This window comes from Homo sapiens, chromosome 2 (assembly GCF_000001405.40).
Source record: "Homo sapiens chromosome 2, GRCh38.p14 Primary Assembly".
Lineage (NCBI taxonomy): Eukaryota > Metazoa > Chordata > Mammalia > Primates > Hominidae > Homo > Homo sapiens.
In genome coordinates this window covers 187172975-187193000 of record NC_000002.12, presented here as the reverse complement: position 1 = coordinate 187193000, position 20026 = coordinate 187172975, and the positions used below count along the sequence as shown (strand labels likewise).

General features: G+C 40.5%; 1 long non-coding RNA gene across 3 annotated transcripts in view, besides 1 other annotated feature; it reads right to left on the bottom strand.

Moving 5' to 3' along the window:
- Positions 1 to 20026, bottom strand: part of CALCRL-AS1 (CALCRL and TFPI antisense RNA 1) — a 544253-nt gene that overhangs the window by 354525 nt on the left and 169702 nt on the right. For 2 of the 3 annotated variants that reach the window (NR_187179.1, NR_187178.1), the window contains exon 2: positions 1070 to 1166. This is a non-coding gene — a long non-coding RNA (CALCRL and TFPI antisense RNA 1). The remainder of the gene's footprint in view (positions 1 to 1069; positions 1167 to 20026) is intronic. The other variant, NR_187180.1, reaches the window with a different exon arrangement.
- Positions 18105 to 18399: an enhancer, noted in NCBI's record as "tiled region #15485; K562 Activating non-DNase unmatched - State 12:CtcfO". NCBI's record gives its function as "activates a minimal TATA promoter and a strong SV40 promoter by Sharpr-MPRA in K562 cells {active_cell/tissue: K562}" and the evidence as "EXISTENCE:reporter gene assay evidence [ECO:0000049][PMID:27701403]".

The window sequence follows — 20026 nt, the reverse complement described above, 5'->3', positions numbered from 1 at the left end:
TTCATATCCTTCTTTTACCTATTTGAAACTATGTATTATTGTTAAATATAGTCATCCTACAGTGCTATAGAACACTATAACTTACCTTTTTTATCTAGCTCTAATTTTATATCCTTTAACAAATCTCTCTGTATCCTCCTCTTTCTCCTACCTTCCAGCCAAAGAACAAGTTCTTTAACTATTTGGGAAAAGAAGTTGCTTCAGTACAATATTTGTGAATACCTCTGAGTTTGTTTTCTCTCATTCATCTATTCATTCGACTAATATATGTTGAACATTTTTCCATTCCACATGCTATGTAATGATGTGAAACTGCTTCACCCCTTCTTTTACCCAAACAATGTGCAAGAGAGTAAGCAAATGCCATTTAGACAACTCTCATATCATTACATTTTCCAATAAACAATATTATTTGATAAACACAAATAGCAAGCACTAGTCATTATATTCACATAGACATACTAAACTATTTCCAACAACTGACACTGTGTATGATACATTCAGCTCATCACATCACTCATTCAGAATCTACCTCCTAACAACTGTATCTTTGACTGTATGACTTGCAATTATACATTTTGTTGCTAACTTATACAACTTATCTGGGATCTGCGTGGATATTTCCTCCTCCCCTCACTCACCTTTTAGCCTGCCTTTCTCAACTGGCTTTTCAACTTGGACAAACTCTATAAATTACATTTATTTTTCTTTTCCAAATAAAATAGTCTCAATCCAACTTGCTAGTTTAACTCTTTGCTTCCATTCACATCTACTTCTGATTTTACCTTGCCCTTTCACCACCAAGGTTATCTTTTGCCCTTTATCCTTTTTCAATTTTCAAGTGCCCTTCAACATTTCTTCCTCCAATGTATTTTCTCTTCTTTCTCTACATACATACATCAGGACCATTCTATGACTACTCTCCTATGACTACAAGATAGTTTCTCCTATGACTACAGGATGGTAAATTCATGTTTAATAACTAACTGTATTAGTCCATTCTCATACTGCTCTAAAGACATACATGGGCCAGAGTAATTTATAAAGAAAAAAGTTTTAATTGGCTCACAGTTCTGCAGACTATGCAGGATTCTGCTTCTGGGGAGGCCTCAGGAAACTTACAAAGGTGGAAGGCTGAAGGGAAAGCAATCATGGTCTTCACATGGCTGGCAAGAGAGAAAGTGAATGGGAAGGTGCCACACACTTTTTAAACAATCAGATCTCGTGAGAACACTATTATCACAAGACAGTACTGGAGGGATGGTGCTGAACCATTAGAAACCACCCCCATGATCCAATCACCTCCCACCCCGTTCTACCTCCGACATTGGGAATTACAATTCAACATGAGATTTGGGTGGGAACACAGAACCAAATCATATCAATAACTTTTTGTGCTCCAACACTTCAGTCATTGTTTTATACATTCTGCCCACTGTAAGCATTTCTTGATACAGTCACTCCAATCCTGGAAACTATTTCATTTGTAGAGGGCATTTTTTTAATAATATAAAAGATACAGAGTCTTTATTAAATGTGATAATCAAAGATAATAGTACATTCCTTTATTTAAAATTTAATTTTATAATGACTTTTTAATTCTGTATATTAATCTGTTATTCAGTTGAAGAGCTAGAAAGCATTTATTTTTATGTTTTGATCAGATACTACTGATTCTCAAGAGAATTTCTTTCTTAAACTGCCTATCTGAAAATTTAGTGCAAGTTTTGCTGTTTTCTGTTGCTTCTGAAATTTTTAATATTTGATATATGTAGGATTGTCATATTTAGCAAATAAAGGTATAGCATGCTTTGTTAAATTTCAACTTCAGATGAATGACTTTTTTTAGGATAAGTATGTTCCATACAATATTTGGGACATAGTTATGCTAAAAATTATTCATTATTTGAAATTCACACTTAGCTTGGCATCCTATAACATATCTGGAAACCATAAATATATGTCATCATTATTTAAAAACATAGTTTTATTTGCATATTTTAATAATACAACAAGAACATATTCTACATAATAAATTATCTCCAATAATTTCACACTTAACTTCCTCCTAGATGATACTGGTTAACTAATTGGCACATTATCTAAAGTGTGCAGAAAGATAATTCCAATAGAAATAGAAATTGCATGAAATATTTTGAAATTGTGTTCATGTATGATAAGGTTCTCCTCATGGAAAGCACCACTTTAAATGAATTTCATCATATTTGACTTATATTTCTCTTCTTTTACATTATTCAGTTCATGAAATACTTTGTTTTCAGGTTGCTGTAGGCTAATGTTTGTTTTCTACATTGAACATTTCAGTAATTCGATTCCAGCAAAAAGAGATTTTAATTAGTCTATTATCTCATGCTAACTCTCTGGGAATAAATAATCGTATCAATGGTTCAGAGTCATTGTTTTAAAGTTTACAATGAATAATTAGAATTAGGACAGGTAATGTACCAACCTCCTGACATTTTCTGGGTCACAGATACTGTTTACAAGCTAATGAAAGCTAGCTTTTTTCCAGAAAAATAACATATACATTCATATGCACATACATTTTTAATTAAAATATCAGAGAATTTACTCTGAAGAACACTCATAGACCTCAGTTAAAAATCCAGAAAGTACAGAGTCAATGTAATGGGAAGGATATATAAAATTTATTAACCCACACTTACTGTTTTACAATACATTGAAATATTTTTCCCTGATTTTTTAACAAAGAAATTATTCCAAGTACAAAGTAGCTCACATATTAAAACACGTATAAATCACACACATACACATTTCTTTAATTGTTATTTTTTATTTCTCCAACCAGCAATAACAAACTAATATTTAGGAATTCACCTCACTTTATGTGTGGGTCTCATAAGTAAGATGAGACCCTCACTTTATGTGTGGGTCTCATAAGTAAGATGAGACCCTCACTTTATATGTGGGTCTCATAAGTAACAGTAAATCCATAAGTAGTGGATTTACTGTTTTGTACTTTAGTAATTATTAATATGTGCATATTTTAGCTAAACATAGGATTAAATTCTCTGAAGGCTGGAAGAATATCACATTTTCTGGCACATTCTGTGGCCTTAATTAGCAGTTGCAAAATCATCTTAACTAATTTAGGGAAGCAGTTACCAGATAAAGTCTTGCTCTTCATACCTTATTGATTGATAAAGATATTTAAATTAAGGCATTTGACTTGGTTACCTTAAAAATGATGCTAGAAACAATGAAACTAATCTTATTAATGTAACTGCATATCCTTACAAAATGTATTTATATTGCTTTAAAGAATGTTAAGCACAACTTTGGGTGAAAATATAAAAATAAGCTCTTATTTTCTCATTTCAATGTGGGTTTTTTGCTAATCTAAATAAAAATTATTATGTCATTTGATGACAACACACTATTTCCCCTTCCTTTCTTTTTTCTAAGATAAAAATAAAGCTCAATTTGTCTTGGGAGAGTGACATAACTAAAGCGCGCTATCATCAAGTAACCTAGAAAACCTGTCACACCTTTTGCAAACAAAAGGGCTATTTCTCCTGTAACGTTTCCAGAAGGTTGGCATGGAGAAATAAAAGTTGAGGAAGAAGGAGTCTGAATATAACCAATCCTATGAGGCAGAAAGTACTTTCAGTTTGCTTCTATTTTGCAGGAGACTCTTTTGCCTTTTGTAGTTGAGACTATCCATGGCATAATATATTGCGGTTGCCCCCAAATGTGATTCATAGGCTCAAAAGCTAAAAGCACCCAAGAGATGTCTGTTCTTTTCATTCAGGCACATAAATATTCATCATGATGATATACAGTCCCCAGGTGGTCTTGAAATCTTTGCCATTGTACATAAGGTGGTGCCTATATCTGGGAATAGCATTGTCAGAAATGCTCCTTTAAGGAGTCTGTGACCCAGAAATCATAAAGACCATGTGCTTTAAATCCCTGAAGGTAATTTTTAGGAGGATTGTGTTCATTTACCACAGTAGAATGTTAATTAAGTGTTGTGTTGTACACATAATAGTCATTCTGCTACTGAGACAGTAACCCAATCAAAAGTCACTCACATATCTTTTTCAAGATGAATATTGCATATCACATGTGCTATCTAGGTTTTCTATTTTTAAGAGAATGTTTTAATAATACTATCTGAAATGTGATATTTCACATGAATGTACAGAATAAAACATGGTAAACATTAAGCCATTATATTTAATATAACATATATTTTCTGCCATGTAAAATTGACTGAAGTTTATATAAAATTTTTTTCATGTCACCTTAAACTTCTGTTAAAATGTACAGTCAATGAGACTGAAATATTTGGAAAGCAAAACATCTATGACCTTCAAATGAACTTGTTAATGAAACCATGTCATGAGTCAGTAAGAAAAGTTGATGACTAGATATGTTTTTGCTGTGATGTAAAAACACAAAAAGTATTTAAATTGGAAATGTTAATTTTTTGAGCTCAAAAGGGCCAAAGCTGTCCTGTAAATATATTTCAAATAAGATAAAATTGTTCTTACATAGAGTTGAACAGGCCTTAACATTTTAAAACTATATTTATAAAGCCCCTATATATATATATATATATATATATATATATATATATATATATATTTGCTATATTAAAATATAGGCTTAAAAGATTTAGTGTGTATGCATGCTATAAAACAGTTATAATTTTAAAAATTTTATTTATTTATGTTTAATCCAATGTTTAGGAACTATTTATAGAATGGTGTACATTCTGTGCTCTGCCAATTCAAAAAAATGCAACTCTAGTTCATATTTTTATTACTATCAAAAAATCCTATATTTTCAAAGTAAATTGCAAAGTAGTCAGAGATAAACATCCAGATTTCTATGATTTCAAATTTTGATAATTTAATTTATAGCCACATTATAATTTTACACGTGTGCATTGCATTTTTGTTTTTAATGAATCACTCGCTCTACCCTGGACAGTTGCCTGTAGTGTATAATGGGAAATATAATTGGAAATCATCAGCCTATTATGTAACAATATAGAAGCAAGCAAGTAAAATAATTACCAAAAAAAAGGAATTATTATCTGCACAGATAAAAGTTACCTCATGTGAATAAGAATCAATGTTGATTTAATCCTTTCCTTTTCATTGCACAGTTGCCTGTGGAAAATGGCTACATTAATGGGAATACAGAGCTATAAATCACAAGAAATAGGAAATGTACCTTCACACCACTAAAACAATACAGTTATAATAATAATCTTTTAAGAATGAGTGATACAGCAATTTTTTTTAGGTCATCAACAACTGAAAGCATTAGCAGTCAGTCATTGTCTTCCTGCAGAATTTCCAGTTAAGATTCCAGCTGGCAGCTCTAAAAAGTGATTAAGGTTATCCCTTTACAGTGATTCACTCTGATTCTCAAAAGACATTTTAAAAGGCTACCATAGAATTTCTGTGTTTACATAGAGTACTGTCAAAAGGCAATACCCTCTCAGTGTACCTGGCTGTTGCTTGCTTGCAGTTTTCTTGCCAATGGATTAGGAAAGATAAAATGGATATCAAACAAGCACCATAAGTTTAATATATTCAAATATATTTAAACTAAATGAACATGTTATCCTACCTATATTTTCTTTTTTTTTCAGATTTAATTTTTTTTTTAGATTAACATCTTTGTGTATATATATTTATTACTATACTTTAAGTTCTAAGGTACATGTGCACAACATGCAGGTTTGTTACATATGTATACATGTGCCATGTTGGTGTGCTGCACCTATTAACTCGTCATTTACATTAGGTATATCTCCTAATGCTATCCCTCCTCCCTCCCTCCACCCCACTACAGGCCCCGGTGTGTGATGTTCCCAAGAGAAAGCAGAAAAGATCTAAAATTGACACCCTAACATCACAATTAAAAGAACTAGAGAAGCAAGAGCAAACACATTCAAAAGCCAGCAGAAGGCAAGAAATAACTAAGATCAGAGCAGAACTGAAGGAAATAGAGACATAAAAAACCCTTCAAAAAATCAATGAATCCAAGAGCTGGTTTTTTGAAAAGATCAACAAAATTGATAGACCACTAGCAAGACTAATAAAGAAGAAAAGAGGGAAGAATCAAATAGACACAATAAAAAATGATAAAGGGGATATCACCACCGATCCCACAGAAATGCAAACTACCATGAGAGAATACGATAAACACCTCTACACAAATAAACTAGAAAATCTAGAAGAAATGGACAAATTCCTCGACACATACACTCTCCCAAGACTAAACCAGGAAGAAGTTGAATCTCTGAATAGACCAATAACAGGCTCTGAAATTGAGGCAATAATTAATAGCTTACCAACCAAAAAAAGTACAGGACCACACAGATTCACAGCCGAATTCTGCCAGAGGTACAAGGAGGAGCTGGTACCATTCCTTCTGAAACTATTCCAATCAATAGAAAAAAAGGGAATCCTCCCTAACTCATTTTATGAAGCCAGCATCATCCTGATACCAAAGCCTGGCAGAGACACAACAAAAAAAGAGTATTTTAGACCAATATCCCTGATGAACATCGATGCGAAAATCCTCAATAAAATACTGGCAAACCGAATCCAGCAACACATCAAAAAGCTTATCCACCATGATCAAGTGGGCTTCATCCCTGGGATGCAAGGCTGGTTCAACATACGAAAATCAATAAACGTAATCCAGCATATAAACAGAACCAAAGACAAAAACCACATGATTACCTCAATAGATGCAGAAAAGGCCTTTGACAAAATTCAGCAGCCCTTCATGCTAAAAACCCTCAATAAATTCGGTATTGATGGGACGTATCTCAAAATAATAAGAGCTGTTTATGACATATCCTACCTATATTTTCAAATTCAGCCACCCAAGCCAGAAACCTGGTAGCAATATTATAAGACTTGTTAACAATAAAATAATAATAATAGAAGTGTCAGCCTTGAAATGACTTACCAAAAAGGAATGCCATAATATTTGGAGCATAAAATAAGGCCATTTCCACCTATTCTACTTCCAATGATTCTGTTACCTGCCTTTATATGCAATAGTTATGGCAGAAATTCCCTAGATTTGGAAATAAGATTTGCATTTCAATTCCAATGTTGCCATCTAATAGCTGTCTATTCTTGGCCAATTATTTTACCTTCCCAAGTTTTAATTTTCTTATGTATGTACTGCAAAAACAATTCTAAATTTGTAAGGTTAATTACAAATGTTGAAAAGCCGCCTACTGCAGAGTCTAATACCTTGCAGGTGCTCACGAAACGCCAGCCATTTCTAGTATTAGTACCACCTAGGCATTCTAGCCTGACCTGTGGTAGCCATGGTGACAGAAGTTTGCGTTGCAATAAGAGTACATAGGTATAATCAATGGGTTACCTGTCAACTTCAGATGTGAGGAAAATGTGATTTGATTACAGACAGGGTACTCATTTTATGACATAATTGCATAGTACATAGCGGTTCCCAGAGAAAGTCCTTCTTTATTAGCCTAAGGTAAGTGGAAGGTACAAATTGAACTTGACATGGAAATGTTGTTTGGAATGGAGTATTTGTTTTGTGATGACATTATGTATTTATGACAGCTGATATTTTAATTTCCTGAGGTGAAATCTTTAACTGATACTGTAGTTTATTTTCTCATTGTAATATTGAAAAACAAATTGTACAATCCTAAAATATGTGGGCCAATACTCTGTTATAAAAGGGCAGCAACCATTGTCTTGCTGTTTTCTTGATTTATTTTTGCCAAGTTTGGCTTGAAATAGCTAAAAGGTTCTAACAGTATACAGGAGTCAAAGAAATTAAGAAATATTGCTGTATGTTGTACGCAGGTTGCAGAAGCCTTTTCTGATGACTCCAGATGCCCTTGATAGGCACAGGAAGCAGGGAAATTCTGGGCAGAAAGGGGCAGTTCCCTAGTGAGGGCCCTACCCTCAAGGTGAAAAGCCTGAGATCACACCCCAAAATGAGAACTTACATCCCTGTTTTTCTGCTCAAATGTTGAATTTTTCAAAACCATCCTGGCCCAACCCTCTCCCATTCTGTCCCCCCAAAAAACCCAGGATCAGCTGGCAGAGAAAGGAGAAGCAGCTGGACACTGGAGACTACAGTTGGGTGTCAGAGAGAAGTGGCTTGACTTCAGAGGGACAGCTTGACAGCATAGCTTCAGAGAGGAGTCTGGCCAGGAAGATTATTTTCCCTCTCTGTCCCCTTTTCAGCTTCCCTTCCCACTGAGAGCCACTTTTATCAGCAATAAAATTTCCTGTATTTACCATATTAAATTAATTTGTGTGACCTCATTTCTCCTGGATGCTGGACAAGAACTTGGGTGCCACAAGTATGGGTGCAAAAGGCTGTGTGATGGTTAATACTGAGTGGCAACTTGATTGAATTGAAAGATACAAAGTATTAATCCTGGGTGTGTCTGTGAGTGTGTTGCCAAAGGAAATTAACATTTGAGTCAGTGGGCTGTGAAATTTAGACCCACCCTTAATCTGGGTGGGCACCATTTAATCAGCTGCCAACATGGCTAGAATATAAGCAGGCAGAGAAATGTGAAAAGAGAGACTGGCCTAGCCTCCCAGCCTACATTTTTCTCCTGTGCTGGATGCTTCCTGCCCTTGAATACCTGACTCCAAGTTCTTCAGTTTTGGAACTCGGACTGGCTCTCCTTGCTCCTCAGCCTGCAGATGGCCTATTGTGGGACCTTGTGATCATGTGAGTTAAGACAATAAATTCCCCTTTATATGTATATGTGTGTATATATATATATATATGTAACATCAGTTCTGTCCCACTAGAGAACCCTAATACAGATTTTTGTACGAGGAGTGGTTCTAGAGGAACAGAATATTAAGGATGGAGTTCTTTCATTGGTTTTGGGGTTTCTAGAGTTGTCCGATTAATATGATTAGACCCCAAAATGCTAAGGCTTTACTTCTAATAGTATGGAGAACACGGATAGTCCTTGGCATGAACTCTTTAGAGAGTTATGCAAAATAAATGCATCTGTCACTCCTGATTCATCCTGCATGAAAGGCAAAGAGTTTAATGACTCTATACATAATACCTTTGACCATAAGTGGAGAACCAAGGAACATAATGAATCTGGTTGTTCGCTCCTAAGTTCAGTGGATCAAGTAATGAAAAAAAAATAAAATAATGAACTCAGGGATTCGATCTCCTGGCTTCCGAAGCAGATACTGAGCCTTAAATCTGCTAAGATTACCCTGAGTGAGATCCTTATCTCCTGTAAAGAAAGAGCCAAAATTGTGGAAAGGCAGACACAATCTCTTATCATGCAAGTGGCTGACCTGCAATGAAAGGTGCATGCACAGCCTCACCAGGTGTCTACTGTTAAAGTGAGGGCATTGATTGGAAAAGAATGTGACCCTGCAACTTGGAATGGGGCCATGTGAAAGGACCCTGATAAAGCTAGGGACACTGAGTTTTTAAACTCTGATGAATATTTTTTGCCAGAAGAAACAGCTTTCCCATCCCCAGTAGTGGCAACATCCCCTCCCCAACCCATGCTGCCATCAGCCTTTCCACCTTTGTCTGAGGAGATAAACCCTGTGCTGCCTGAGGCAACAGTGATGGCCTTTCCTGAGGCAGTTGCCGGCAAGATTATGTTGATTCTCTTCAGAAGCCACCCCCAACATCCCCGTTTGCTCCTAGTCCTATAACTAGACTAAAGTCCCGTTGGGCCCCTAGAGGTGAGGCTAAGAATGTGACCTATGAGGAGGTGTGCTACACTCGAAAAGAACTGCTTGAGTTTTCAAATTTATATAAACAGAAATCTGGAGAACAAGCATGGGAATGGATATCAAGGGTGTTGGATAATGGTGGAAGGAACATAGAGTTGAATGACACTGAATTTATTGATTTGGGCCCACTAAGTAGGGACTCTGCATTTAATGTTGCACCTCGGGGAGTTAAAAAAAGTTCTAATAGTTTATTAGCTTGGTTAGCTGAAATATAGATTAAAAGATGGCCCACTGTGAATGAGCTGAAAATGCCTGAGGAAGTGATCCAAAGGCTTAGGGAGATTGAGGTGGTGGAGTGGATTAGTCACTTTAGACCTACTCATCCCAGCTGAGAGGGTCCAGAAGCTATAACCTTGACCAATGCCATGTGAAATAGATTTGTTAGGGCAGCACCTGTACCTTTGAAGAGCCCTGTAATTGCTCTTCTCTGTATGTCAGATCTAACAGTGGGAACCACAGTAACTCAACTAAAAATTCAAATACAATGAGAATAATTAGATTGTGAGGTAGCAAGGGCCAAGTGGCAGCACTCAACCATCAAATGCAAGGTGGGTGTAGCTACAGTAATGGATAGCAGAGGGAAATCAACAATCAGAATAGTCTGAGTTGTGTAGAGCTCTGGCATTGGCTAATTAATCATGGTGATCCTATAAGTGAAATTGATAGGAAGCCTACTGCATTCCTGCTTAATTTATATAAGCAGAAAACTTCTAGATTGAAACCACAGAAGATTAATTTGAATTATTAAAAAAAAAAGAATCACAGCCCCTCAATCAATTTCCAGACTTGAGCCAGTTTACAGACCCAGAACCCCTTGAATGAATGGAAGGCCAGGTCCCCTTGAGGAAGGACCCCACTACATTACCAACAATTTATGCAGTGAATCTTTCTCACATCCTTCCCCAAGGAGTCCTCTGACCTTTTACAAGGGTAACTGTGCATTGGAGACAGGGAAATGATCAGACATTCTGGGGACTACTGGACACTCACTCTCTGCTAATGTAAGGCCTACCAGAAGCAATTTGCCTTCAGCTGGTAAGGCCAGCAATATACCTTTACTGTCCTACCTCAGGGGTATATCAACTCTCCAGCTTTGTGTCATAATCTTATTCAGAGAGAACTTGACTGCTTTTTGCTTCTGCAAGATAACATACTGGTCTAGTACATTGATGATACCATGTTGATTGGATCCAGTGAGCAAGAAGCAGCAAACATGCTGAACTTATTGGTGGGATGTTTGTATGTAGGAGGATGGAAAATAAATCCAACTAAAATTCAGGGAACTTCAATCTCAGTAAAATTTCTAGGGGTCCAGTGGTGTGGGGCCTGCTGAGATAGTCCTTCTAAGGTGAAGAATAAGTTGCTGCATTTGGCCCCTCCTACAACCAAGAATGAGACACAATGCGGTTGGGTGTGGTGGCTCACGCCTGTAATCCCAGCACTTTGGGAGGCCAAGGCAGGCAGATCACGAGGTCAGGAGATTGAGACCATCTTGGCCAACATAGCGAAACCCCATCTCTACTAAAATACCAAAAAAAAAAAAAAAAAAAAAAAAAAATATATATATATATATATATATATATACATACATACACACCAGGTGTAGTCCCAACTACTTGGGAGGCTGAGGCAGGGGAATCACTTGAACCTGGGAGGCAGAGGTTGTAGTGAGCCAAGATCGCGCCATTGCACTCCAGCCTGGTGATAGAGCAAGACTCCATCTAAAAAAAAATACAATAAAGAAGAAAAAAAAAAAAAAAGAAAGAAAAAGGCACAATGCCTAGTAGGCCTATTTGAATTTTGGAGGCAACACATTCCTCATTTGGGTGTGTTACTCTGGCCCATTTATTGAGTGACCTGAAAGGCTGCCAGTTTTTAGTGGGGTCCAGAACAGGAGAAGGCTCTGCAACGGGTCCAGACTACTGTGCAAGTTGCTCTGCCACTTGGGCCGTATGACCCAGCCAATCCAATGGTGGTTGAGGTGTCAGTGGCAGATAGGATGCCACTGGCAGGCCTCCATAGGTGAATCACAGTGGAGACCTCTAGGATTTTGGAGCAAGGCCCTGCCATCTTCCACAGATAGCTATGCTCTTTTTAAGAGACAGATCTTTACCTGTTACTGGGCTTTGGTGGAAACAGAATGTTTGACTATGGGTCATCAAGTCACCATGTGACCAGAACTGCCTGTCATGAACTGGGTGCTTTCTAATCCATCTAGCCATAAAGTCAGGTGTTCACAGCAGCATTCCATCATCAAATGGAAGTATATACATGATTGGGCTCTAGCAGGTCCTGAAGGCACAAGTAGGTTGCATGAAGAAGTGTTTCAAGTGCCCATGGTCTCCACTCCTGACACCTTGCCTTCTGTCCCCCAGCCTGCACTGATGGCCTCATGCAGCATTCCCTACAATCAGTTGACAGAGGTAGAGAAGACTAGGGCCTGGGTTACAGATGGTTCTGCATGATATGCAGGCACCACCCAAGGTTCGACAGCTGCAGTACTACAGCCTCTTTCTACGACATCCCTGAATGACAGCAGTGAAGGGAAATTTTCCCAGCGGTCAGAAGTTTGAGCAGCACACCTGATTGTGCACTTTGCATGGAAGGAGAAATGGCCAGATGTGCAATTATATACTGATTCATGGGTTGTAGGCAATGGTTTGACTGGATGGTCAGGGATTTGGAGGAAGCATAATTGGAAACTAGATGACAAAGAAATTTGGGGAAGAGGTATGTGGATGGACTTCTCTGAGTGGTCAAAGACTATAAAGATGTTTGTTTCCCATGTGAATACTCACCAATGGGTGACCTCAGCAGAGGAATATTTTAATAATCAAGTGGATAGGGTGACTTATTCTGTGGACATCACTCAGCCTCTTTCCCCAGCCAACCCTGGAATTATTCAATGGGCCCATGAACAAAGTGGGCATGGTGGCAGGGATGGAGGCTACACAGGCTCAGCAACTTGGACTTACACTCACCAAGGCTGACCTGGCTATGGCCACAGCTGAGAGCCCAATTTGCCAGAAGCAGAGACCAACACCGAGCCCTCGATATGGTACCATTCCTCGGGGTGATCAGCCAGCTACCTGGTGGCAGGTTGATTATATTGAACCTCTTCCATCATGGAAAGGGCAGTGGTTTGTCTTCACTGGAATAGACACTTACTCCAGATATGGGTTTGCCTATCCTGCATGCAATGCTTCTGCCAAGACTACCACCCATGGACCATGGAATGCCTTATCCACCGTCATGGTATTCCACAAGGCATTGCCTCTGACCAAGACACTCACTTTACGGCTAAAGAAGTGTGGTAATGGGCTCATGTTAATGGAATTAACTAGTCTTACCATGTTCCTCATCATCCTGAAGCAGCTGGATTGATAGACTGGTGAATGATCTTTTGAAGTCACAATACAATCCCAAAGCAACTAGCTGACCATACTTTCCAGGGCTGGGGCAAAGTTCTCCAGAAGGCCGTGTATGCTATGAATCAGCATCCAACATATGGCACTGTTTCTCCCATAGCCAGAATTCACAGGTCCAGGAATCAAGAGGTGGAAGTGGAAGTGGCACCACTCACCATCACCCCTAGTGATGCACTAGCAAAATTTTTACTTCATGTTTTTAGGACATTTTGTTCTGCTGGCCTAGAGGTCTTAGTTCCAGAGAGAGGAAACCTGCATCAGGAGATATAACAAGGACCACTGAACTGGAAGTTAAGATTGCCACCTGGACACTTTGGGCTTCTCCTACCTTTAAGTCAACAGGCTAAAAAAGGAGTTACAGAGTTGGCTATGGTGATTGACCCAGACTATCAAGATGAAATCAGTCTGCTACTCAACAAGGGAAGTAAGGAAGAGTATTTATGGAATAGAGAAGATCCATTAGGGCATTTTTTAGTATTACCATGCCCTGTGATTAGGGTCAATGGGAAACTACAACAGCCCAATCCAGGCAGGACTACAAATGACACAGACACTTCAGGAACGAAGGTTTGGGTCACACCACCAGGAAGAAAACCACGACCTGCTGAGGTGCTTGCTGAAGGCAAAGGGAATATAGAAAGGGTAGTAGAAGAAGGTAGTCATCAATACCAGCTACAACCATGTGACCAGCTACAGAAACAAGGACTGTAATTGTCATGAGTATTTCCTTATTCTTTTGTTCAAAACATGTTTGTGCATGTATACACTCATATGAAGAAAATATCTTCATTTTATTTCCTTTCTCTTTTATCGTGTGACATAAGATTTATTGACTTCACATCAGCATTTAAGTATTGTTAAATTTGTGTAACAGTATTTGGGTTGGGAATTGGTACATTTCCAGTTGTACGAAAGATAGTTGTATTATGTTAGGCATAATTATGACCTTATTATTGTCATTATTTGAAGATTATGTGTGAGCTCAGGAGATATCTATGGGTTCAAGTTGACAAGGGGTGACCTTGTGATGGTTAATACTGAGTGTCAACTTGATTGGATTGAAGCATGCAAAGTATTGATCCTGGGTGTGTCTGTGAGGGTGTTGTCAAAAGAGATTAACATTTGAGTCAGTAGACTGGGAAACACAGACCCATGCTTAATCTGGGTGGGTACCATCTAATCAGCTGCCAGTTCAATCAGTATATAAAGGAGGCAGAAAAACGTAAAAAGCCTTGACTGGCTTAGCCCCCAGCCTCCATCTCTCCCCTATGCTGGATGCTTCCAGCCCTCAAACATTGGATTCCAAGGTCTTCAGTTTTGGAAGTCAGACTGGCTCTCCTTGCTCCTCAGCCTGCAGACGGCCTATTGTGGGACTTTGTGATCACGTGAGTTAAGACTTAACAAACACCCATATATACATATATATATATATATCTCACATATATTCCATCAGTTCTGTCCCTCTAGAGAACCCTGACTAATACAGTCTGTCACACTGACCCTCCACTGAGCTGTTAACACTTAAGCTGTCTGCAGATGGCAGAGCTAAAAGAGTACTGTAACACTTCTTCTGGGGTTTCAGGGATCATGGGTTTCCCCCTCAGATGCTGCCACGGGGCTGGTACAGAGTTTGCCCCTGCCAGTGCCCAAAAGCACTCTCCCCAGCTCTGCAACCTGCATGCTCCCCATACTGCGAGGGGTGGAGTGCAGCAGATCGGATTGAGTAGAATTTGCTCCTGCTGGCACCAAAGCAGCCAGCTAGTTCCAGCACCTGTTACCTCCAGTTCCCACCCATGAAAGAGTCAGGGAAATATCCTGCTTCATTTGGGGTCTGCCTGGAATTCACCAGAAGTGTAAGTAAATGCAGATCTGTCGGATCTGTCTCTTGTCCTCAGACTTGTCTGAGCTATGCCACTTGCAGAGGACAGGATGCAAACCCGCCATCTCTTTCTTTAGGATGAAAGGAATGCTGGCTCTGTTTCCCTTTATGGAGGCCTAGCCATCATGTGGGACCAGAATGAAGTCCTGGGTCAACCGAAGGCATCTGACAGAGGCCACTGCTCAGTGTTGTAACTTTCCTTTGAAATGGGTCCTATCTCTTCTTTTATAATGTGAAGTGTTTTGCCACAAGCTGCAGAAATATTACTAGGAAGAATGAGTATTTGGCCCAGCTATCAGATATGCAATTCATAACAATATGATTTCTGTCGGTTCTTAGAGGTTCCATCCCCACCCTCACCCCAATAGCTTCAGGTGCGTGCAGTGCATGGCAGCGCCCTCCTCACCCTCTCCCCTCCCAGCTGGAGCACTTGGGCATGTTGGCAGCATGCATGTGCCACGCTTAATGGCCACACTGGATGGGAGAGAAGCACAGCTCCCGCCAGTGACTCAGGGCAGCCTAAGGAGCCAGGGACACCACGCGGCCAGCTAGCCAGTGTTTCCCACTCACAGGCCCCGTCCGCCACCCACCCATAGAGTCTTTCCTCCCCTGGCCGAGGAAGGAAACACTGGCCAGTCTAAACCAGAGGAGGGATACAATGATTAAAGGAACCCATCTGCATACAGCAAGAGGTTCTTTCACCTCTCTTAAGCTGTTTTTTTCCCTCTTTCTTTTCCGTGCAAGAGAGTTCTTTTCCTACCTCATCACTCTGCTTATGATAGGGAGGTAACAGAGGAATGACCCCAACAGCTAATAACTGAAAATTTGGCAAGGCCTGTCAGGAACTTAATCTACATAAATCCATGCTCCCCCTGAGACATCTTTTTGTCCCAAACTCAATTCTAAATTTTAGGTTGAGGCCCTAGAAAGGAAAACCAGATCTGAGGAATCCAAAGCCAGGCCACAGGTGCAGTGTAAATGAGTAGGACTAATTCCTGCTGATTAAGCCACTGCTTCATGGAAGGAGGCCATTTTCCATGGCATAGATAAGGCCCAGGGAACACAAAGGCTGCCAACCATAGGGGGAATGGAGGCACAGGCCCTCTCTGTCTCACAAGTGCAGGCTTCAGTGGCACCCATGGAAGGTATCTGTCTAAGATCGCCAGGTCTTGGGGATAAAAAGAGAGAAAAGAAAGTGGGGACACCCATTTTCTCTCTCCCTCACACCCTGGGTTATTACTGAAAGATGGAAGGGAAATAAGGGATGCCTATTTCCCTGTGTTTCAGAATGGGCCACCAGCTATCTGCACAATTCCCAGTCTATACTCCTCTGGAGTATATCCTGAGTCACTGGGACTACTTTGACCCTCAGACTCTGGAGCAAAATCACCTCAAAGTCCCTTGAACAAAGGTTTGGCCAAATTATGATCTGCAGGAAGGACTGGCTTGACCTCAGGAGGGAATCATTCATTTTGATACCATCCTGTAGTTAGACCTTTTCTGTAAATATGAGGGCTAATGGTCTGAGGCCCCATACGCACAGGCTTTCTTTACTTTGCAGGGTAATCCAGACCTTTGCCAACATGGTAGGATTGATCCAGCCCTCCTGTTTGCCATCTCAGGAGAGGCTGCAAGGGTAATCCCAGGGAACTAAAGAAATGAACCCCACAGGCACCTCCAGAAGGAAGCCAGGTTCCTCCAGCCCTGCTCCTCTGGGTCTACCACATCCTTCCTATCCAGTTTCTCTCTCTTGCTTGACCCCTCCTAGAAATCCTCACTTTAGACAAGCCCCAGCCTCACTCTTAGCCCTCCAACAGATGCCTGGTGATTTTGGCCCCAGTAAGGTCCAGGTCCCCTTCTCGCTACAGGACTAAAGACAAATTAAGGGGGATCTTGGCAAGCTTTCAGATGACCCTGACAGATATATGCAGGCTTTCCAGAATTTAACCCAAGTATTTGAACTCTCCTGAAAGATATTATGTTACTTTTGAATCAAACTCTAACACTGAGAAGCAGGCTGCTCTGCAAGTGGCAGAGAGATATGGGTATGAGCTTTGAATCACATATAGTGTCAGGGAGGGAGTAAAACTTTATCCAGCTAGAAGTGAAGCAGTATCATTGGATGACCCTAAATAGGATCTCAGTGATGAGATGAGAGAATGGAAGAGGAGACACTTTCAAGTGTGCATAATGGAGGGCTTAGGTAGGTCTAGAACTCAGCCTCTCAATTATACCAAGCTATCAATGATAGACCAGGGATTTGATGAGAATCCCACTGCCTTCCTGGAGAGACCTTGGTAAGGCACACCTCTCTATCTCCTGATTCAGCTGAGGGACAACTAATCCTAAAGGACAAATGTATTACTCAGGCAAAGACCCTGATGTCAGGAGGGAGATGCAGAAACAGGCCCTGGGACTAGATAGTATTTTAAAGAACCGCCTAAAAGTGGCCAGCTTGGTCTTTTATAATAGAGAAGGGAGGTCCAGCAGAGAGAAAGGAAACACAGAAAAGAGACAGAGGCTTTAATGGCAACCACACAAGCCCCAAAACACCAGAATTCCTGAGATGCCCTGTTAACTGCTACAGATGTGGTAAGCCAGGACATGTTAGAAAGGATTGTTCAGGCAGCATGAGGAACCTGCCTTGACCATGTTCAATTTGCAATGGGGACCACTGGAAGGTGGACTGTCACCAGGAACACTGGTCATTGGATGCAGAGCTAATCTCCCAAGTGCCCCAACAGGACTGATGGGTCCCAGTTCTCCTCTTCCCAGCTCCAGTGGTCCAGACCACTATTATCATCCAGGAGCCCCAGGTAGTTCTGGAAATCGAAGGAAGGAAAGTGGACCTCCTTCTGGACACCAGGGCTGGTCTCTCAGTTCTCCTCTCCAATCTGGGCCCCCTCTTCTCTCTTAGCATGACCATGAGGGGCCTCTCAGGAAGGCCTTTAACCTGATATTTTCCCCAACACCTTAGTTGTAGTTGGAAAAACCTCTTGTTTACCCATACCTTTCTAATTATGCCTGAAAGCCCAACTCCATTGTTGGGCAGGGATATTCTCTCCCATATGGGGACCACTATTATGATGGTCCCAGGACAAACTCTTTGTCTCCCCCTAGTGGAGATAGACATTAACCCAGAAGTTTGGGCCATTCACTGCAAAATTGGCCAAGCCAGAACCGCCATAGCTGTCTGGGTCCACCTTAAGGATCCCACCTTTTTTCCTAACCAGAAACAGTATCCCCTGAAACCAGAAGTTAGGAAAGGACCAGAAGCCATCATTGATATCAAGGTTTCAGGGCCTCCTCAAACCCTGCAGTAGCCCTTGTAATACTCCAACATCAGGGATACAAAAGCCCATCATGGAATGAAAACTAGTTTAAGACCTCCGCCTTGTTAATGAGATTGTGGTTCCAATTCACCTGGTGGCTCCCAATCTGTATACCCTCCAAGCTCAAATACCTGAGGTAATTAAATGGTTCATGTCCTAGACCTGAAGGATGCTTTTTCTGCATACCACTATACCCTGACTCCCAGTATTTGTTTGCATTTGAGGATCACTCTCAAACCAAACCAAACCAAACCTCCCAGTTAACCAGGATGGTGTTACCTCAGGGATTCTGAGACCGCTCCAACTTGTTTGGGCAGGCATTGTCAGGAGACCTCTCCAAGTTCCTCTATCCTCAGGTTAAAGTTTTACAATACATAGATGATATTCACCTCTATGCTCCAACTGAGGAAATCTCTCAGGAGGGTGGTAAGGTTCTTCTTAATTTTCTGGCTAACAGAGGATATAAGGTTTCAAAATTTAAAGCTCAGCTCTGTCAGACTTCAGTGAAGTACCTAGGCCTGATCTTGTCAGAGGGAACCAGAGCATTGTGCTCAGAAAGGATTAAGCCCATCTCCTCCTTCCCCCTCCCCCAAAACCCTGAAGCAACTGAGGGGGTTCTTAGGCATTACAGAATTCTGCAGACTATAGATACCTACATATGGTGAAATAGCTCATTCCTTTTATCACCTAATAAAGGAGACCCACTCGACTAATACTCATTCTCTAATTTGGGAACTGGAGGCTAGAAAGGCCTTTGACCAACTAAAATACACATTGCTTAAGGTACCAGCCCTTAATCTCCCCATAGGGAAGACATTTAATCTTTATGTGTCAGAAAGAAAGGAAATGGCCCTGGGGGTTCTAACCCAGGCCCAGGGTCCAGCCCAGCAGCCTGTAGGCTACCTAAGTAAGGAGCTTAATTAAGGTAGCCAAAGGATGGCCAGCCAGCCCCCGAGCATTTGCAGCAGTAGCCTTGCTGGTACCAGAGGCTACTAAGTTAACCATGGAGAATAACTTAACTGTTTACACTCTGTATAATGTGGCAGGACTGCTGTCTTCTAAGGGGAGTCTCTGGTTAACAGACAGCCACTTCCCCAGGTATCAAGCTCTGCTATTAGAGAGATCTGCAGTTCAATTAAGAACCCATCCCTCCCTAAATCCAGCCACCTTCCTCCCAGAGGAAACTAGGGAGCTTGAACATGACTGTGAACAGATAGTAGTACAAACATATGCAGACAGAGAAGACCTCAAGGAAACCCCCTTAGAGAGCCCAGACTGTATTCTCTTCACAGACGGAAGTTATTTTGTAGAATAAGGGATCCATAAAGCAAGGTATGCAATAGTTACTCTAAACGATACTGTTGAGAGCAGGGGTATGTCTCTCTTCGGGCACAAGTGCTCAACTAGTCAAACTAATTGCCATCAGAAGGCACTCAAGCACAAGGAAAGCAGTTAACATTTATACTGATTCTAAGTATGCTTTCCTAGCTGTCCATGCCATGCCAATATCTGGAAAGAGAGAAACTTCCTCACAGCTAACAGGTCTCCCATTAAATACCATCAGGAAATTAATACACTATTATCCTCAGT